Source organism: Homo sapiens, chromosome 17 (genome assembly GCF_000001405.40).
Source record: "Homo sapiens chromosome 17, GRCh38.p14 Primary Assembly".
NCBI lineage: Eukaryota > Metazoa > Chordata > Mammalia > Primates > Hominidae > Homo > Homo sapiens.
In genome coordinates this window covers 13,298,981-13,321,194 of record NC_000017.11, presented here as the reverse complement: position 1 = coordinate 13,321,194, position 22,214 = coordinate 13,298,981, and the positions used below count along the sequence as shown (strand labels likewise).

At 39.9% G+C, this 22,214-nt stretch overlaps 2 long non-coding RNA genes across 2 annotated transcripts; one reads left to right on the top strand and one right to left on the bottom strand.

Annotated features, from left to right (window-relative positions):
• Window positions 1-3,236: 3,236 nt before the first annotated feature.
• LOC124904097 (uncharacterized) lies at window positions 3,237-13,948 on the bottom strand. Its single transcript, XR_007065972.1, has 2 exons — window positions 13,336-13,948; window positions 3,237-3,608 (listed from the first exon to the last, which is right to left on the bottom strand). It is a non-coding gene; the product is annotated as an uncharacterized LOC124904097 (long non-coding RNA).
• Window positions 13,949-14,434: 486 nt separating this feature from the next.
• Window positions 14,435-22,014, top strand: LINC02093 (long intergenic non-protein coding RNA 2093). The gene is made up of 5 exons (NR_146885.1): window positions 14,435-14,459; window positions 17,244-17,362; window positions 19,956-20,076; window positions 21,208-21,376; window positions 21,961-22,014. It is a non-coding gene; the product is annotated as a long intergenic non-protein coding RNA 2093 (long non-coding RNA).
• Window positions 22,015-22,214: the final 200 nt, after the last annotated feature.

Sequence of the window (22,214 nt, the reverse complement as noted above, 5' to 3'; positions counted from 1 at the left end):
AAAATTCTAATGTTAGCTTTGTCAATACTTTACCCAACTAGAATAAGAAAGGAAGGATCTCAATTTAGGATGGACAGATGATTGAACACAATCATGGGTTCAGGTACTTTGAAAGAAAAAATATTGTACCTCACTGTTGAGCAGTGCCTTACAGAGTCCAAAATGCTGTCATAGATGAGATATTAATTGGCTTTATGGTAAAACAAACACAAATATTTCACATATGTTTTTTTCAGTAAGTCTTTGGATGTGTCTTGTATAGGACTTAGCAACATGCTAGAGGAACAAAGGCTGACCTCCCTACCTATATATTTAGCTCAAGCAGAGGAAGGAAGCTGGCAAGACAACGGTTTCTCCTAAGAAAATTGGGCTTTTTTGTAGGGTTACATCTTCAAGAAGCTTATTCATTTCCCTACAGTTCCTACCCCTGTCACATCAAGTGACCAGCAATCCACTCTAGATTCACTGCTATTGCTAAGAGCAGACACTATTTTCCAAAGAACAAGGGTCCTTCTCGGGGGAGCTTCCATTACACAGACAAGTGCCTATGCCGAGAACAGTTGCAGAGTCTGGCTTCCCAGAACAGTTTACACTGACTGCTCCAGCTCTGCATGCCTCTGCCAAAGTTTGGCCGTTGATTTGGGAAGTGTTGGGTGGGGACAGGAAGCAGGGTGGAGAGGATATGTAGAATGAGGCCATGCAAAATAGCCAATATTTGGATAATGCAAAATTTCCTGCCTGCAAAATATCAACTCTTGTCAGCAGGAAAACCCACTTGTCTTTAATATTTTTAGAAATAAATGTAATTAATAAAAATCATCAGTAATTGTTGGATTCGGTTGACATGTAAGGCTTCAGAATATCGAGGAATCCCTCAGCCTCCCCAGGCAATCCTTTGATACTGGGGAATGGTGCTTGTCACAAGGAGGCTGGGCTGGCCTCTGTCCATTGTTCTGACCCCAGGTTTCTTGTGGAGAAAGAAGAACATGGGCTCTGTTGACAGGTGATATTTTGTTCAAAGCAGATCTGAGCCACTTAACCTCTGGAAGACATTGAAAATGACATTAAGGTCCCTACACCATAGATTTCCCCTCATCTATGAAATAGAGACAGCAACACACCTACCTTAGTGGGCTTTTTTTGGGAAGGGTTAAATGAAATGATGTATAGTTCAGGATTGGTCATCAAATGTTTGATGTAGGTCACTCTTGGTATCTGCCTGTGAGTCCCTCAGTATCTGATTCCTTCTTTATTCCACACTTTTGGTGAACACACCATTCAACCTAGGCCAAAAATCCATCTTGCTATGTGAAAGCCTCCATTTCTTTTTCTGAAGACTATTTTCTTTTGAAACTCCCTTATACTCTGGGAAATGTTCTATCAATAAGCACATGAGTTCATGCCTTGCATAAGATTCACTTTGGGAGGTGTGATAATCGCTGAGGTAGACTGAGTGCCTGGGTGGGAGGGGACACTGCCAGAAGACAGGGAAGACACCATGTAGGGTAAGTAAAAGTGCCATTTGTGTCAACTTTTCCATTTTGACCTGGGTAGACACAGACATCTAAGCCCAATAATCACTCTGGACAGGTGACTTGCTGTCCTGTCTTTATTTCTGAAGTTATTTTTGTTTTCAACAGTGAAAGTAACCATGTTTATCATACAGTCTGTTATAAAGATCAAAAATTGAGAATTATGAGCAATTGTGAACTCTCTAAAGAGCCCAGTCTTAGGCCAGGGACAGTGGCTCATGCCTGTAAGACAGTGGCTCATGCCTGTAATCCCCACACTTTGGGAGGCCAAAGTGGGTCTCCACTTGAGTGGGTGGTTCGAGACCAGCCTGGCCAACATGGTGAAACCCCGTCTCTACTAAAAATACAAAAATTAGCCCGGCATGGTGGCGCTTGCCTGTAGTCCCAACTACTAGGGAGGCTGAGGCAGGAGAATCACTTAAATCTGGAAGGCAGAGGTTGCAGTGAGCTGAGATCATGCCATTGTACTCCAGCCTGGGTGACAAGAGCAAAACTCCATCTCAAAAAAAAAAAAAAGACCCCAGGCTTTAGCTCCTAGAAAAATGTGGGATTTCTTTTTCATACCATGATGTTTTAACTTCTGATCAAAATTAAGCTTCTGTGGCTGAGGAGACCATCTATCTAGTTCATCCAGTTGCTATTTTCTTCTCTCAGTCTGGGCTACACTTGAAGATCCATTTTCTAAGGCTCCGAGTTCACCTTCAGATTCTGCAGAAACGATTCTTCTTTCACTCCCACAGCCATTCTCTGCCTTCCCAGGGAAAGGATCTCCTTGGATCTTTAGCTCTAGCTGATCCAGAAGCACTTCTGTATACATTACGCCAAACTGTCTCTAGCTGACCTGCCTTTAATCAATTGATAATTACCTCCCAATAGTGGCCATAATCATCCACTTAATATAGTGCTTTCTATTCTGAAACTCACACTTTCTCCTATTATAACATTTCTGAACTTATTTATAATCTTATTATCTAAGATTATATTTAAAAGTGTGTGTTTCCCCACTTCCTGGTGCCTTTTATAATTAATCAGGGATTAGAATCAGGTCAAAGCTGGAGATTTGGAGATTCCCAGGGGACACTAAGGAGCAAGTGGGAACAGGGGAATCTGCTTGACAGCGTAGAAATACTTCAATTCTCCATTATTTTCCTTTCCAGAATTTCAGAATTTCAGAATTATTCTGAATTCAAGTATTTCAGAATTTCAGAATTATTCTGAATTCAAGTATTTTAAGACTTTATCTTTCAACTGTATACATTTAAAAGTTTGATTATCACTTTCATCCAAAGGATGTGATTTGGCTCTGTGTCTCCACCCAAATCTCATCTCAAATTGCAATCCCCATATGTCAAGGGAGGGACCTGTAATTCCCACATGTCGAGGGAGGGAGGTGATTGGATCATGGGGGTGGGCGGTTCCCTCCATGCTGTTCTCATGATAGTGAGTTCTCATGAGATCTGATGGTTTTATAAGTGTTTGACCGTTCCTCCTTCATACTCATTCACTCTCCCTCTCACCTGCTGCCGCGTAAAATGTGCTTGTTTTTCCTTCTACCATGATTATAAGTTTCCTGAGGCCTCCCCAGCCATGCAGAACTGTAAGTCAATTAAACCTCTCTTCCTTATAAATTACCCAGTCTCAGGTATTCTTTATAGCAGTGTGAAAATAGACTAATCCACTAAGGTAATAAGTGTTGAAAGAAAATAGATTGGAAACACAAAAGAAAAGTGTTTATTATATATCATTTGAAATCATGGGACATTCATCTCATGGTTAAACAACTTCTGCTTGCAAAAATGGACCCACTGTCCACATTTTTTGAAAGCAGCACAGGTAAAGAACAAAGCCTTAAGCTTTCACTCCATCGAGTCAAAGTTCCTAGCAGTCTAAGTGCAGATGCATTATAATTTGTGGGTTTTGTTGTTTGTTTCTAGAGGATCCCTCCAGAAAATCTTCTTTATCTTCTTCATGACTAAACTTCCACAGGGCCTGTCTTGTGTCTCATAAGCAGCTTCCATCTTTCTCCATAAACACCTCTTGTATTTTCAAACATAATGGCGCATCTCCCACGAAAAACTGAAAGACAAATAGGGATATGTAAGAAGAAATGCTTGGCACTTAGTGTTAGGATTTTCAACACTAAGTTGTTCATGTAAAGATTCTGTCTTTACCCTTGGCCGGGCGCGGTGGCTCACGCCTGTAATCCCAGCACTTTGGGAGGCCGAGGCGGGCGGATCACGAGGTCAGGAGATCGAGACCATCCCGGCTAAAACGGTGAAACCCCGTCTCTACTAAAAATACAAAAAATTAGCCGGGCGTAGTGGCGGGCGCCTGTAGTCCCAGCTACTTGGGAGGCTGAGGCAGGAGAATGGCGTGAACCCGGGAGGCGGAGCTTGCAGTGAGCCGAGATCGCGCCACTGCACTCCAGCCTGGGCGACAGAGCGAGACTCCGTCTCAAAAAAAAAAAAAAAAAAAAGAAAAAAAGATTCTGTCTTTACCCTTTCATTATGCGTGTGTCCTAGGCTTTTCAAGTGAACATCAGCATACAAGTTATTTGCTTAGAACAGAGCTGTAAGAGTAAAATGCATGAACACAGTCGAAGCATCTGGTTGGGACCATGGCCACCTGTCAGCATTGGATGCTCCCTTTGGTGTGTTTCAGTGAAAATGAATAAACCGCATTTCCTTTTAAGCCACTGCATTGAGTTGGGTCTACTTTTTATAGCAGTCTAGTCTTACCCTAGCAAATACATTCTCTCAGCTCAATGTATATTCATGTGTTGCTTAACAACAAGGATATGTTCTGAGAAATGTATCCTGAGGCAATTTCTTCATTGTGCATAGCCTACTGGTACTAGGCTGTGCACAATGGTCTAACCTATTGTCATAAGCTAGAAACCTGGACAGTGTGTTACTGTACTGAATAGTAGAGGCACTTGTAGCACAATGGTAAGTATTTGTGTGTCTAAACATAGAAAAGGCACAGTGAAAATACAATATTGTAATCTTATGGGACCGCCATCATACATTTGGTCTGTTGTTAACTAAAAGGTCATTATGCGGTGCATGGCTGTGTATCTGAAAGTGACAGGCTGGAGACTTCTAGTGCCCACTTAACATATCTTTCTTTCAAACACCAGTGGGGATTATACTTTCCTGTTTCTTTCAGTAAATCAGGCCCATGAAACATTCTGGCCAATGAAATGTGAGCATATCACTTTCAGGCTAAAATATTTATTGGCTAATGTAAGACCCTCAAGCTCTCTGTCCTTACTATGTGAACCAAGAACGTTATACACTTCAGATTGTACAACTGCAAAATAATTGAGTCTTTGTCCACCTCTATCAATCTCCAGGCATAGTGAAACAGAGCCACCCTCTACCCATAATGAACATCTAGCAATAATGAGAATTAAACTATTGTCGTGTTAAACTCTGAAGTTCGAGGGTTGCTCTTGCTGTAGCACTCTTATTAGCCTACATCAATTAATACAGATGTTTAAAACTTTATTTAGAAGGTCAGATATTATCAAGTGTAACATTGCATAACTATTTCAATTAGCAAATATACTTGAAAATCAATTTCCAGGTAAAGATAACAGATTAAACATATGTATGTACTTCCCATCCCTCCTAAAACTCCATTAAAAGGCAAATAAGGGAGATTTTGTAAGACATATACCCACAAGGATACAGCAGAGGGGACAACAGCAACAGAATTTTGGAATCTCAATAACAAATAAATAAATAACAGAGGGCTTGTTATTTAAGAAGGCTGAATCTAAGCCAGAAGTAGAAGCTGAGATTATGCCACAGAACCCTCAAAAGTCTCAGCAAGTGTGCAAACCAGCTACCCCCAGAAGTGGAGAAAAAGAGAGAGTAGGAGGCTAAAATAACAAGACTTGGTTAAAAGCATTTAGAGGCCCAGTGTGATGGCTCACGCCTGCAATCCCAGCACTTTGGGAGGCTGAGGCAGGCAGATCACTAAAGCCCAGGGGTTCAGACCAGCCTGAGCAACCTGGTGAAACCCTGTCTCTACATAAAAATTAGCCAGGCATGGTGGCACACACCTGTGGTCTCAACTACTTGAGAGGCTGAGGTAGGAGGACCACTTGAGCCTGGGAGGTGGAGGCTGTAGTAAGTTGTGATCGTGCCACTTCACTCCAGCCTGGGCAACAGCGTGAGACCCTGTCTTAAAAAGAAAGCGCATTTTAGAAATTAGTTTCTATTAATGTCTGGGCCAATTCCCTTCCCCGGCAAAAGATTGGAGGGTTATGTTCTGAAGACAGTAAACCAGAGCGTCTCTAGGGAATGGATTATGAGTAAAACTTTTGAACTTTAGGGAGATGGGTTAAATGAGCATCTCTACAAAAAATTCTGAGATGCCCCTGATATGGTTTGGCTCTGGGTCGCCACCGAAATCTCATCTCAAATTGTAATCCCCATAATCCCCACATGTCGAGGGAGGGACCAGGTGTAAGGTGACTTGATCATGAAAGTGTTTTCCTCCATGCTGTTCTCGTGATAGTGAGTGAGTTCTCACAGGATCTGATAGTTTTATAAGGCAGTTTTCCCTGTTTTTGCTCGCTCTCTCTTGCCTGCCTGCCACCATATAAGATGAGCCTCTTCCACTTCTGCCATGATTCTAAGTTTCCTGAGGCCTCCCCAGCCATGTGGAACTGTGAGTCAATTAAACCTCTTTTCTTTATAAATATCCCAGTCTCGTGTATGTCTTCATAGCAGCGTGAAAATGGACAAATAGAGCCCCCAACCTTTTTCCTCACTCATCTTCCTTGGAAGAGTTCAAGCTAAAGGGCCTGCCCAGTACAAGAGGAAAGACATTGGAGTTTTTTGGTATTTTTTGAGATGGAGTCTCACTCTGTCATCAGGCTGGAGTACAGTGGTGCAATCTCGGCTCACTGCAATTCGCCTCCCAGGTTCAAGCGATTTTCCTGCCTCAGTTTCCTGAGTAGCTGGGACTACAGGTGCGCACCACCACACCCAGCTAATTTTTGTATTTTTAGTAGAGACAGGGTTTCACCACATTGGCCAGGCTGGTCTCAATCTCCTGACCTTGTAATCCACCCACCTCGGCCTCCCAAAGTGCTGGATTACAGGGTGAGCCACCGTGCCTGGCCGACAGACATTGGAGTTTTTTAATAAGACACGCTGGGACGTCAGTGCTTCCAATCAGCTTCTAGTTTGCCCACTAAATCTGAGCAGACAAAAAAAGAATATCAAACATGTAAAGAAAGCCTGGGATGAAATATAGAGACCAAACCAAAAAGCAACTTGGACAAAAGCAACTTGGAGAAAACAGAGACTATGTGGGAAAAAATAAATAAAAAACTATCATTACGTTCTCAGATAGGTAAGATAGTAAGTTACAATCATTAAAAATGCCATACAAATAAATATTCAGAAGTAAGAGTTCTGGGAAATTGAAAGTAAAATTGAAAAGTAAACAGAAAAATAGGAAGAAAAAGTTGAGATAATCTTCCAGAAAACAGTCTAAAGGGACAAAGTGATTGGAAATTGAAAAATAGTAAGGAATTGGGGAAATCAGTTTAAGAGCTCCAATAATTATCTAATGGCAATTCAAGAAAGAACAAACAGATGAAATAAAGTGGAAGTAATTATCAACAAAATAATTCAAGAATATTTGACAGAACTGAGGACATGAGTTTCCAGATTCAAAGGACCCATCATCTGGGTGTCCAAGAGAGTGAATGAAAAGAGGCAAATGTTAAGGCTCTTTACTTGAAGAGCTCTTGCTTTTGCAGTTTCAGAAGACTGAAGATAAAAAGGAAATTCTACAGGTTCTCAGAGAAGAAAAAAAAATGAAAACAAGTTTTATACAACAGATTAGGAATCTCAGTGACTTCAGATTGCTCAATAGCAAATATTGCAAACTAGAAGAGAAATAAGCAATATTTTCCTATTCCTATTCTTAAAACTATGTGCCCAGCTAAACTATCTGGTGTCAGGTAAAAAGAAGTTTCAGAAACTCAAGGTTTTTAAAATGTTACTTCTTTTGTATTCCTCCGAAGGAACCCTAAAAGAAGAAGACATGAGATCCAAGAAAAAAGGCACCCAATACGAGAGAGAAATAAAGAAAAATCCCAGATTGGTGATGAAAGTCAGAGAAGCTAGCATAACCCTTGCAGAGGACAACCATTCTCAATATTGACAGGTCAGAAGGGTCACAGAGAAATTTTTTCAAGAAGATGAAAGCATTAAAATACCTAATGTGAATGAACTTATTGAAAAGAGATTCAGGTAATTGCTGGAGAGTGTAGGTTAAATTTCTGATAAGTATACAGAAAACCACATAAACAAATGAACAAAAAGATAAGGATTGATTCCAGGAGATGTAAAAAGTTGTGCAGGAAAGGAAAAGTTATCAGAGTTTACTAGGCTCAGGACTCAATAGCATTTACATGATTATAATAGTTTAAGCAATGAATATTTGGGGAAACTAAAATTACAGTATAATTACATTGAAAGACTGAAGGGGAGATAATGGAGAGTTTCTTTGGAGATGCAAAGGGATGCAAAAAACAAAATTAAATCCTCATCTGACATAGTGGGAAGTCAATAAATAATATGTAAAGCTGAAAAATCAGGAAGCAGCAAGACTAATGCATTATTTAGCCACAAGCAGGGAAATACCACAGGGATCAACTGAAAGAGTTGACAGTGGTTTTGGGGAAAAGGGATAAATGGACTTGAAGGGGACAGATAATTTACATAACAAATCTTGTATCTACATCTGGCTCTCTGGAGTGTGTGCCTATGTATCTACAATAAAATAGCCAACGCTCTCCCTGCAAAAGGAAAAGAGTAAAGAACAGTAAAAACGGTAGAGAATTAAACTCAAACATGCACTTTTATAAATAATATGTTCATTTTTACTTAAAATGTTGTAATATTGATGTTTTCAAAAATTCAGATAAACCAACAGAAAATACAATTAATTAAAATCTTTAATTTTGTCTTCGAAACACATGAACATCCTTAAATATTTTAAAATAAAAGTGGGACAGTGCTATTTTCATAGAAAATTTAAGACACATGACAAATGTATTCAGTAGTTCAAGAAACATGAATTAGAAGTTTCACAAGGAGAAAAGGGAGTTGTTAGAAGAGGAAAAGAAGATCACAGTATTCTAAAAGAAATTGCGTATGTTCAACAAATGATAAACTATGGTTATGTAACATGATACAATTTATACTCATAGATAAACTGCTGAATCCCCAAAATAGAAAATCTAATATGTTTTGAGAGGAAGATGTTAATAACAAACAACAGTAATATTCTTAATCTTTGTTACTATTCCATATTCTAGGAGATTTAGTCACTAATTTTAGCTTTGTCTATTGCAGTAATCAGCCCTTCTTAGTTTTTTTCTCCCCCATTATGCACGATTTTAATTTCTCAAAATTTCTTATTCATTTGATTCATTTTCAAAGAAGTATGTCCTTTTTCACATATTCAATATTCTGTCAAATGTTTTTAATAATTTTAATGGAAATGTTAAATTAACTTCTATTGCCATTATTAATCTCTCAAGGACCATCTGTTCCACCTGTTCCTATAGATGTTTCTAATTAATGGTTTACTTTTCCTCAAAGTCTGTGTATTTGTAATTATGATTCAAGGATTACAGTGGTCCCTGTTGATCATTCAACTGGCTTTCTTCAGCAATTGTAGAGTGTACCATCCCTACAGCAGAGCTCTCTCCTGAATGGGAGCATACTCCAGTCCTCTTTGGGTGGGTGGGTGCGATGCAAATGGATTTCTTTCCAGGTTGAACAAACAAACAGCATGTAAGTAGGTTAAGGATTTGCCTCAATAAATCCAAGTAAGCCAGGGAAGACATTTCTCTGGGAGTAGGGAGTTTCAGGACATTTCATTCCTCTACAAAGCTGCTTTTCTATTATTTTTCTTTTTCCTAAAGGAAGAGCCACCACTTTATATAGAGTTCATCTTATCTATTATATCTTAAGAGAAAATACCATAGCCAGCTCTCTGTGTACCAGAGCTGAGGACCAGCCCAGCTGGGCTGGCATTCCTTCAATTAATTATGTTGCTAATTGCCACACAGGCTGCTCATTCATTCAACATCATTCAACAAATATTTCCAGCCCTTGCTGATGATGATCTTGGAGTTTTTCCAGGGCTCTGTGGGGAAGGCTGGTACTTGCTTCTTCAGTGACCCATTCCAGATGTCCTTATTTGTTTGTGATTTCCTTGGCGCTATTTTCCCTGTCAAACCAATGTACTTTATAGTTTTCCAAAATTCCTTAAAATGTTTGATCTGCTGATAAAACCTCCTCTGTTTTTGTTTTTCAGGACTGCTAAGGATTTAATCTCATTCTTATACTTGATTAGTCATTTTCCTGGGATCTGGAGAGAAAATGGAGAGGTATATGTGTGCTTTGTCCACCCTCATGATATGGAGATAAGGTTCCTAAACTGATTAATTTCTTAATTTACTAGAGTTTCTTGAGTAAATTTCCATGATGTATATGTTGGTTACTGTATTGTATCCATACACATGCTAGCTGTGTATGCATCCTTGCATATCCAAGAATTTTAGCACCCTCTCACATAAACAACAGCTGGGTATAAAATTACGTCGCACAATCCTTTCTTCTCAAAATTCCTTGGGTGTTGCTCCATGGTTATCTGATATTAGGAGACACATTCTGGTGACAATCTGCTTTCAGTTATCATTTAGGTAGTTGTTTTCCTTCCTCTCAGATGCTTAATGTATTTTTTCCACTAAACATGAAATTTTAAAACCATATTTAGAATATAACTCAGTGTGGTTCTTGTCATACTTCATCATGCCTCATACCTCTGTTGTCCATTTCCAATGCACAGGACACAACCCTCTGCCATTCATTTATCTTCTCTCCTCCATATAGTTCTTGTACATTTTCTCAAATCTCTTCCCTTCTTCCAAGGCATATCTACTCTAACCATTGAACTCCCCTTCAATGAAAAACTCTTCTACTTCCTCTAATCACTTCATATTCATGCCATGTTTGAAACCTCATTCCTCCGTTAGAAAACCCTTCCCTGCAGCTTTTCCAGATACTCAAAGGGCCAAGATTTTCCACATGCTATTCATAGGCTCAGCCTTTCAATTACATCCTGGTAGCCTCCGAATGCCTCATCTCCAGGTTATGACCCCCTTACTGCTGAAGAAGAACTGCAAAGCCTTCCCCATGCCTCTAGTTGCAGGTATCATCGGCATCCTCTTAGTGGATTTCTCTTCTGTTCTTAGTATTATTCTCTTCCCACTCTCCATACTTTCTTAGGCAAAGATCTCCTCTCCCATGGAAACATTTGCCATATATACACTAAGCTCTCACAAGGCCCTGTCTTCACCCTAGTTTCTGCTTCCCCAGTTCCAACTGCCTATTCATCACATTAAATTCAACATGTTCAAAGCAGAAGTCATCATCCAGTCTTTCTCCTGAGATTCCCATCTCAGAGAATGGCATTTAATTGCTCCAAACCAGATATCTGGCTGTCATACTTCTCCCTAATGCCCACATCTAATTAAGGTTGATTCTACATTTTGAAAAATTTCTCATATCTACCTATTTTTATCCATTCCCATGGCTAATCTCCTAGTTTACATTGCCTTTTCCTCCCCAAATTCCTGTGATGACCTCTAATCAGTCTCTCACCATTTGTCTGGCTCTTCTACTATTCATTGTCCACACTCACTAGAGAGCCTTTTTGAAAATATACATATGATCATTATAAAAACTCCTTGTCCTTGTGTTGCATTGTCCATATCTTCATCTCAGGATTATGATTAAAGTGACTCATATAGTGGATGAAATTTTTTATACGTTAGCCTCTGTTTTTCCTTCAACCTCATTAACTCAGCTTTTCTTTGATTTTTCAACCTTACAGAAATGTTCTTAGTTGTTTAAATGTGACATGTTCTTTTTCAGGTTTGAGACTTTACCCAGGCTTTTACTTCTGTCTGGATTACTTCCCATCTCACCGAAGACATTTTTCTTCATCTAGATAATGCTGACATATTCCTCAGGTCTGCCCAAATATCACTTCTTCTGGAAAGTGATATTTTCCTGATCCCCCAAGCCAATTAAAGTGCACCTCTGCTAAGCTTTTCACTTCTGTGATAGCACTTCCCATACTCTATGCTACCGATTGTGATTTGCTTGTCTTCTAAGGTATATTCAACTCAGTTGGAATAGGTACCATGTTCATTTCACCTAATACATTTTTTTGGCTTTTCTCAGTGCCTGTAATATAAATGTACTTGATAATTTTCATTCAAGTGACTCTTTAAAATAAGTTGTTCCTGGTACTTGCTAAGCCTTTTAAAACAAGATCATAATCCTTAGTAATTTTAGCAACATTATCTTCCACTATTATTTTGATTATTTCTTCTTCCTAATTGGCTTTCTTTTTTACTTTTGGAATTCCTAATATTCATTAAATATCAGCTTGCTTTCTCTCTGAGCTCTAGGAGAATTTCTTAAACTTCCTTCTACTTGACTGATTCAATGTTCTGCACAGCCTATGTCCAGTTCACTTCTTTCATGACATTTTAAAATACAACCAGCTTAGCAAGGCTGTAGAGAAAAGGGAATGCTTATGCACTGTTGGTGAGAATGTAAATTAGTCCAGCCACTGTGGAAAGCAGTTTGGCAATTTCTCAAAGAACTTAAAACCGAACTACAATTTGACCCAGAATTACTGGGTATATACCCGAAAGAAAGCAAATCATTCTAACCAGAGAGACACATGCACTCACATGTTTATCACAGCACTATTCAAAATAGCAAAGACATGGAATCAACCTAGGTGCTCATTAACAGTGAATTGGATAAAGAAAATATGCTATATACATCATGGAATACTATGCATCTGCAAAAATAATGAAATCATGTCCTCTGCAGCAACATGGATGTGGCTGGAGGCCATCCATGGAGGCTTAGGCTTATTGTAAGCAAATTAACCCAAGAAGAGAAAACCAAATGCTGCATGTTCTTACTTATAAGTGAGAACTAAACATTGGACATAAAGACGGCAACATGGCCAGGTGCAGTGGCTCACGCCTGTAATCCCAGCACTTTGGGAGGCCAAGGTGGGTGGATCACGAGGTCAAGAGATCGAGACCATCCTGGCCAACATGGTGAAACCCTGTTTCTACTAAAAATACAAAAATTGTCTGAGCGTGGTGGCGTGCACCTGTAGTCTCAGCTACTCGGGAGGCTGAGGCAGAAGAATCACTTGAATCTGGGAGGCTGAGGTTGCAGTGAGCCAAGATCGCATCACTGCACTCCAGCCTGGCGACAGAGTGAGACACTGTCTCAAAAAAAAAAAAAAGATGGCAACCCTACACACTGGGGAATACTGGGTATTGGGGCAAGGGTTGAAAACTACTGGGTACTATCCTCAGTACTTAGGTAGCAGTATCATTGGTACCCCAAACCTCAGCATCATGCAATATCCTTAGGTAAAAAGCCTGCACATGTACCCCCTGAGTTTAAAACAAAAGTTGATTAAAATAAAACAAAATTCTGACTTCAGATCTGTATCTTTTCATAACTGTCGACTCTAGCTCCACAGATGCCACATCCTCTCAGACTTGGTCAAAAATATCAATTACAGTTTTTCTGATACTTTATTCTATCTCATGTTAGGAATTTCACTTCACAGTCTTTATTTGCTGGGTTTCTCGGGTCGTTTCCCTTCTTCGGCAGAATCTTTTCTTTGTCTGTGTTTATCTTTTTCTCTGTTTACTTACCCTTACAGAGTGTGTTTAAAATGGGTTCCGTCTGAATCACTCTAACTATAATACTTTTACATCTCTCAGATCCAGGAAAAAGAAGGATGAAAAATCTGGTAGTGCTTTGCTGAAATTGAGATCTGCTTTTCAGTAAGCAGTAGAAAACAGCAAGTGGGGGCACTGCCTTCTGCTGCAGGTTACACTCCTGGGTTTGCTGTAGAGTGAGAAGTCAGCTGGACCAGCACCTCCTGCAATACTGGTTCCATCCCTGCCAGGTGTAGGTCAAGAATGAGTGCCACACCTGGCTTCTCTACCCGGGATGATCTCTTGCACTTTGAGCTTTTGCCAAAGGTACGATCAAGGCTCTTCTTTCCCTGGGACAAATCTGTCCAAGCTCAGGAGTCGTTTCCAGATAACATGGAGTTCTTCCCGAGGACCTTCAACTTATGCCTCAGCCAGGCATTTCCTTCAAGCAGTGAAGCCCATTAGCGAATCCCTTCTCTTCGCTTCGTGTTGTAAACGTGCCTTACAATTTCCGCCATATTGATGGCAACCCTCAATAACTTCTAAGTTTGGGCCAGGCGCGGTGGCTCATGCCTGTAATCCCAGCACTTTGGGAGGCCGAGGCGGGTGGATCATGAGGTCAGGAGTTCGAGACCATCCTGGCTAACACGGTGAAACCCAGTCTCCACTAAAAATACAAAAAAAAATTAGCCGGGCGTGGTGGCAGGTGCCCGTAGTCCCAGCTACTCGGGAGGCTGAGGCAGGAGAATGGCGTGAATCTGGGAGGCGGAGCTTGCAGTGAGCCGAGATCACGCCACAGCACTCCAGCTTGGACGACAGAGTGAGACTGTCTCAAAATAATAATAATAATAATAATAATAATAATAATAATAATAATAATTGCTAAATTTGGTAAAGATTTTTCTCTGTTCATTCTTGGCTACATAAACGGGAAAGTAAAGACAGCCATCTTGACCCAAATGTTCTTTAGAGAATATCGCGTTCATTGCCCTTACTTCATCCGTGGGCCGGAAGTTATGTAACCCATGTGGTGATTATTACTCATCCCTGTAGAAACAGTGTGAATGGTCTAAGATTCCTTTGCACTATGGCTCCCCCTTCTGGTTCTGCAATGAGTAGTAAGTCTGTCCTGTACTTAAAATCTCTCCTCTAGAATACGGATGAGGCTTGAGGAAAGTGGAGAAATTCCCAGTTTGAGAAAGACACTGTCTATTAACTGGTTAATTCAGATTCCTAAGGATCTTTTAGCATTTCTTAGGAAACTGCCAGCAGGAATTTGAGTACGACAGCTCCACATCAGGGGAACTCTTCAAGTCAGCCTAGGGATTGTCCTGCCTTGGTATGGACTCTTTAAAAGGTCAACAGGGAAACACAAACCGTGTGAAGCCATGTCTAGATAGCACACCGAAAAGAAGAATATTTGCTGCCAACCTATAGCTATGCTGCCCTTGGAGGGCTGGAAAATGGCTTCCGCGAGTTTACGAGAAGAGGGAAACACTCTTTGTGATTGAAAACACACCCGCACCCACACACAATTTCTAAGTTTTCTTAACAAGATAAAGACGGGATAATTTAATACTCAGGGAATTCTTTGTTAATGATTCCATTCGTCCTTTATTATCATCCATAATGGTTTAAAAATTATAGTCTAATTGGTGTCTTATGATTTGATCAAATTCAACATTACGAAATTTAATCAATAAGAAAGGTCTCTGTTGTTCATGACTCTAAAAATAAACTTGATGAAAAATATGAGAATAAATTTGTTTCTTCCCTGCAGTTTATGGTGCTCTCACCATACATGTGTTTTCTGTTTGGAAGGCTGACCTTTACTTTCCTTGTCGCCTCAGGCTATAGTTTCAACCAATAATAATAATAATCATGTGGGTGTGAGTATGTATGTACCTGTGTATATGCCTTAGTTTAATAATCATTTCTATGCATGCACATCCATTTGAAATTACTGTCAAAATATTAAGGAAACACTTTGGGAATTATTAATTGACTAAAATAATGTTTTCCTTGTGCTAAATAGAGAAGGACTTTGCTTAATAAAATTATTTTGTTAAGGATGACATGCTCAGCGGTTTTCATTACGTGAATTGGGCATAGTTACTACTTTTCATGAAATAAGACACTCATTTTCTTTTTGGTTCTCGTTTTATTCTACTTTAGACTTATTTTGTAGCTTCGCCTCTCTGTACAGCCTGTCTATGGCAGTCTGTTTAAGAGAGTTCTGATACATGTCTACATGATTTGAAAATAATGATGTTTTGAAAAAGGAGTGTATTGTTTTAAAATATCTTTTTAAAAAGTAAACTCTATTAAGAAATTTAAGCTAATGCGAGATGACATTTGCTCCTGTTCTTAAGACTCACAGAGGACAAGGGAAGCTCAGAAGTGGTCACTCATATTTCCTTCTGTCTTCAAAATGCTTTGTAATAACAATCATAGGGCCAGCTGGGATGTTATTATAATGCGTTCACTATTTACTCTACATTTTTCAAGAAATGGTGCCCTAAATTTTCCTTGAGTATCCCCCATCCCCCCATTTGGTCCACATTGGCTAATCAGAGCACAAACTTCCTCTCCTGGTGACTGGGGTCTCCATGGCCGATGACTCAAGTTGGGCAATCAATAAATCCCTTGATTTTCATGGGAGTGGGCAGAGATTTCTAGAAGGCAACGTCACCTCTTAGGTTGAACTGAACCTGTGAGGCAGCCACTTTGTCACTGCATGGAACATAGAACACAGAGCTGAGAAATGAAGTGACAATTATGTCACTTGAGGCACTGGAAGGATCAATGCTTAAAGCCTCGAGTTTCTCCATTATGTGAAACAATGCCATCCTTTTTTTCTCTTTTGTAAATTTTATTGAGCTTTCTACCATTTGCCATGAAAAGAGTTTCAACTGATTAAAAAATAAATTGCTAAGCTTGAGTTTTAAAACAAAGAATCACGATACATCAGAATGAGACTTCCACATACAAGCCCAGTGCTGTGGCCAGAAGAACCAGCGTGAATGAGGGCTGGACACTCGGGTGTGCCTTCACTTTCTTTGCTGCCTCCCTCCAGGGGCAGAAAGCAGAGGCTGAGATGGAAGCTAGAGCTTCCTTGTGACTTCTGTGTAAATTGTACATTGAAGCTCAGAGCACACTACTTGCCGATTTAGATGATTCTCTTAAAGGTTGTTTTTGTTTGGTTTTGCAGTTTGTAGAGTTGGAGTTATCCATAGATAATTTTTTTACTCCACTATTATTCAAACATGGTCGAATGTAGAAGAATGCTCTAAAAAACTAAAAGGAGAGCAGAGCTGCTTGGATTCGAATTACGGCGCCCTCTCCCACACACATACTTAGTTTTCTCATCAACCTTCCCATACCTCTCTGTTCCCCCCTTCCCGGTTGCTGAGGTTGTTTTGAGGAGCGATGGGAGACCCACAGCACCCCATGAGGAATTCTCTAATCTCCTGCAGATGGGGAAACTGAGGTCCAAAAACCTTGAGGAAATTCCTCAAATTGCCCAACCAGGCAGGCTTAACAATGTTATGAGGTCATTTGATTATTATTATTGTATTTTTAAAATATTTTATCAATATTTACTGTCTACAAGTAATATATAAATACATGTTAACAGTATCATATTAAACAAATAGTCCAATAGTCTAAAAATAAAGTTCCTCTGGACTGTCCTGCCCCTGCAGGAGGAACTACATTGTTATTAGCATGGAAGATTCACTTCCTGGCCTCTTTCATGTGTGTATCTGCAGAGATACAGAGTCTTCCTTCATGGGATATTAATTTTAAAAAATAGCATTATTCTGTTCATATTATTTGCATAGCGAGTTGCAGATCACTTCTTGCAGAATGAGTCCCATGTCTTTTTTTTTTTTTTTCACCAGGTTACATTGTTCCTCAGAGTGCTGAATTTTGAGAGCAAAGCATTACAGAAATGTAAAAAAATCTTGAAGGCCAGGTGCGGTGTCTCATGCCTGTAATCCCAGCACTTTGGGAGGCTGAGGTGGGTGGATCACTTGAGGTCAGGAGTTTGTGACCAGCTGGGCCAACGTGGTGAAACCCTGTCTCTACTAAAAATACAAAAATAGCCGGGTGTGGTAGTGCACACTTGTAATCCCAGCTACTCGGGAGGCTGAGGGACGAGAATCGCTTGAACCTGGGAGGCAGAGGTTGCAGTGAGCGGAGATCATGCCACTGCACTCCAGCCTGAGCGACAAGGTGACTCTGTCTCAAAAAAAATCTTGAAAAAAGCTTGAACATACCCATGAGCTTTTCCTGTTTAAAACTTAATGTTCTGTATTTTATTATCTTCATACACTCTCAGTGATAAAGCTATTCACAGGTAAAGCATTTATTATAGTTAAGAATTGTCTCTGTATTTGCTCTGGGATTAGCTTGTTAAGTGGTATCTTCCAGCCTTTTAAATCTGTGCCTTCTATTGGAAATCTAAAACATTGAGTTCTTCTTCAGTGTTATTTGAAATTTCAAAACAAATATTACAAATGAAAACAAATAAACAATTATAGCATTAAATGCACCTTTTTAAGCTACACTCTCTCATGTAGTGCTTCCTGCCAATCCCGGCATGCTCAACATAACCAGATGGTTGCCACTCCACTCAGCCACCCCCATTTCACCTAGCAGTGACATGTCCCTGAGGAGCATTCCAGTTGATAACTCAGAGGTGACTAAACATTTATACTGCATATACAGTGATAACGCAGCTGCATTTTAGAATAGTGGAGAAAACACAATAGACCTTACGACAAAATAGGGACTGATAAACTCATGCAGAAAAGCTAGAGCGGGCTTCCTGAATTAATGGAAAACTCCTACAAGAGTCTTCATGATTATTCAAACATGGCAAAGGAGTCAGGATGGTTTGATTTTCTTTGCATTCATACTATTATTTTGAGTTTAGTTTTCTGGTCTGTAGTGTGGGAAAGAGGAGAAAAACCAAGTCACCTCTCAACTTTGACTTTTCCTTGAACTATCTGCCCCAAAATGTTTTTTCCCCAACTCCTTAGAGTTTGACAAAAACTAAGAGTGGCAAACACTATAGATGAGGTGATGGGCAAGCCGTAAGGAGCTGAGATTATTATCTGCAGATTAAGCACAGAGGCCCTGAAATGGGGCTGGGATGTTTCAAGAAGAATTTCCCATGAGGCTTCCAGGTCGGCTTACGGGATCAGGTTGGCTCCACTCTGCTCTCAGCTCCAAGAGTTCTGCAAGATCATTCCTCATCTTTGACAGAACATGGACAAGTGGGGAAGAAAATATATGACATGCTACTAAGAAAAGCAATGTGATCTAATTTGTTTTAGGTGGTGTTTCTGTTTATTGGGGGGAAAATGACTCATGAGCTGACCAAAGAAAGGTGTGCAGGGATTTCTCCCAGCCTCCATTTCTACACTTGCCCATGGCTAAATACGACATTGTTTTTTTCTCTCCAGTAGGAGCCACCTGGGGGATTGGTTAAGACGGGCCCCTGCAAACACACACACATTTAATTTCTTGTATGTCTCGTGTCTACCAGACTGTCTGCCTGAGAGCAGTTCCAGGTCCCACCCACTCATGTCACCCACCCAGTGACAACTGCACCCCCTTGAGCTCTGTCAAGAGAGTCAAAGCTTCTCAGGGGCACCCACAAATCCATTTTCCACTGAGGTCTGGGCCTCCTTGATGATGACACATAATTGAAGTAGGATCACACTCAATATTATCAAATGATTTTTTTTTCCTCTGATTTCTTTCTCTTTTTTTTTTTTTTTTTGAGATGGAGTCTCACTGCATTGCTCAGGCTAGAGTGCAGTGACATGATCTCAGTTCATTGCAACCTCTGCCTCCTGGGTTCAAGCAATTCTCCTGCCTCAGCCTCCCAAGTAGCTGAGATTACAGGAGCGTGTCACCACGCCTGGCTAATTTTTAGTAGAGACGGGGTTTCACCATGTTGGTCAGGCTGTTCTCGAACTCTTGACCTCGTGATCCGCCCACCTCAGCCTCCCAAAGTGCTGGGATTACAGGCATGAGCCACTGCGCCCAGCCACTCTGATTTCATAGTCGTCTAACAAACCTATTATAGTGTGAACTTCCATGAGGATACTGATGTAGGATCATATAAAAAATTGATAATTAAAGAACTGGCCTTCAGGCTCACATATCAAACTCTCCTGAACTTGTTTAGCATGATCCATGGGCAGGCATCGGGCCAGGATTCTGATCACATGGAGCGCCCACATCTGAAAGCCAAAGGTCCTCTCCTTCCCAGGTGTAAAGTGAGAGGTGATGTCCTGCGTAATTGGGCAAGCAGATTCCCTCATGAGACCTCTCAACTACAACTGACTCACCAAGGGAAACATAGATTTGTTGTTGTCTGCTAAAAATTTGTATGGGGAAAAATAGTGGGAAATAATAGTTGGCAAGTTAAGATCCTGAATAGCAAGCTAATATCTTTGGCTTTAACTGTCTTTAGCAGAAAGTCATCAAAGGTTTTTGAATGTTTAGTGAAGGTGGTGAAGGATAGAGGAGAGAAATAGACCATCTATGTACATTGTATTTTTCTTTCTTTCTTTCTTTCTTTTTTTTTTTTTTTTGAGATGGAGTCTCGCTGTGTCACCAGGCTGGAGTACAGTAGTGTGATCTCGGCTCATTGCAACCTCCATCTCCCAGGTTCAAGCAATCCTCCTGCCTCAGCCTCCTGAGTAGCTGGGACTACAGGTGTGTGCCACCACTCCCAGCTAATTTTTGTATTTTTAGTAGAGACAGGGTTTCACCATGTTGACCAGGATGGTCTCAATCTCTTGACCTCGTGATCCGCCCGACTCGGCCTCCCAAAGTGCTGGGATTACAGGTGTGAGCCACCACGCCCAGCCATATTTTTTATTTCTTTTACATAATTTTACCTAATCCTCTGAACATTATGCAGCGTAAATGGCTATCCATATTTTACAGATGAGTAAACCAAAGCTTACAGAGCTTTAAGTTGGTCACCTGGTGGAACCTGAAATAAAGACAGATATTTTGATTTCAAATGCAGTGTTCATTTTCATATTATTTAAATAATCCTGTATCCTTGTAAGGCCACTTCTATCCAAATCAAGCCACCTTATGGTCATATTTGTCTGAAACCCTGAAATGATACAAACAGTACCTCCTTCTCCACTGGGGTAGAGAAAGGTCTATAAATAGCTTCCTACTCTATGAAGCTGAGCATAAGCGTAGGCCTAGAAATTCGGTGAACAGTTTGTCCACCCAGCGTGTATGATTGTCTTCACCAATTTTCCCCTGCTAGAACTAGACCCTGGCCCTGGGTTCTAACTGGTTGAGCTTAAGTTTATCATATATCTTGACCCTGCCCTTGCGCCTTCCATCTGCCCATCTTATTAAAGGATAACACATTATATTACTAATTTGGTCGAGGGCAGGACTCGGTATTGGAATAAACTGGTTACTACAACCAATTAACCTAATGATTAATGTCAACATCAGTGCATGAACTTACAAAAATAGCCTAACATTTTTGGTATGTTTGATAGTCAAAATGAATATTTAAATAAAATACACTTTTGAACACAAAAAATTGTTTCATTGCTATCTAATAACAATTACCAAAAGTAAGAGAGTTCAGTGGATATTGGTAAAGGGGAAATGAAGAAGTTGCTATGTAATTATTGCAGTAAATGGGGACTTAGGTATTTTGGTTTAAAGAACTTCATGATTCCAAGTAGAGACCTAAGATGTATAACTAGGATAATGAATTGTATTACTCAATCTCAATGGAAAATTCTAGAGACTGCCATCCATTAACGGAAGTTGTTTTTTTTTTTTCCCCCAACACTGATGATCCAGAAAACAAGCTCATATTACCAAGTGTGAAATTACAGCAAGTCTTACAGGCTGGGAACTGGAAAAGAGCTTCCCCATCATGGTGGATTATACAACCAGTGGTGGAGAGTAACTCCAAAATATAGCATCTTTCTACTCATCTTACTAAAGCTCAAAGAAGGTGATCTACAAGGTACATGCAAAGGTAGATAGGCAGAATAATATTTTATGTTAATTTTAAACAAACAGGGTACTTCTTCAGTCTTCTCTGCAAATAGGACGTGTCAGCCAGTTTTCTAAGACATTGTAAATGGTCCCACTGAATTGCCTTAAATTTAAGCTTAGGCCCAAACTATGCTATAAACTGCTTGGTAGATACCATTCTGTATTTTATTGATTAATATTTCTTACAGGGGATGAGGTATGAAAATGAAGAGAAAGAGTAAACTTTCTTTACTCTTACTATAACCAATTGGCCTAATAATTAATGTCAATATCATTCCACAAACTTACAAAATAGCCCAACATTTTTGATAACCAAAATACATACTTAAATAAAATACACTTTTGAACACAAAAATTGTTTCATTGTTATCTAATAACAGTTATCCAAAGTAAGAGAGTTCAGATATTGGTAAAGGGAAAATGAAGAAGTTGCTATGCAATTATAGTAGTGAGAGGGGACTTAGGTATTTTGGTTACAGTATATGCTAAACACTGTACAAATATTATTTTGTTTCAGCCTAGCAACAACCATGTTATGTTTCTCTTTTATAGATAATGAAAACAAGGCTCAAAATAAAAACAAGAAATCTTTATGAAATTACACAAAGTGTATGTGTTTGAACTTGGATTTGCTTCCAACTCTGCTTGACTCTGAAAACCATGCCCTTTCCTCTACATGATATGTTCATATGCTCTACCCCACTTATGGGTGGAAACTCCTCCGTCAAGCTTATTTAATCAATGAATGAATGACTCTTCTAAAGGCAGATACCAGCAGGTTTGGTGGTAGAGCCAGTCCTGCAAAT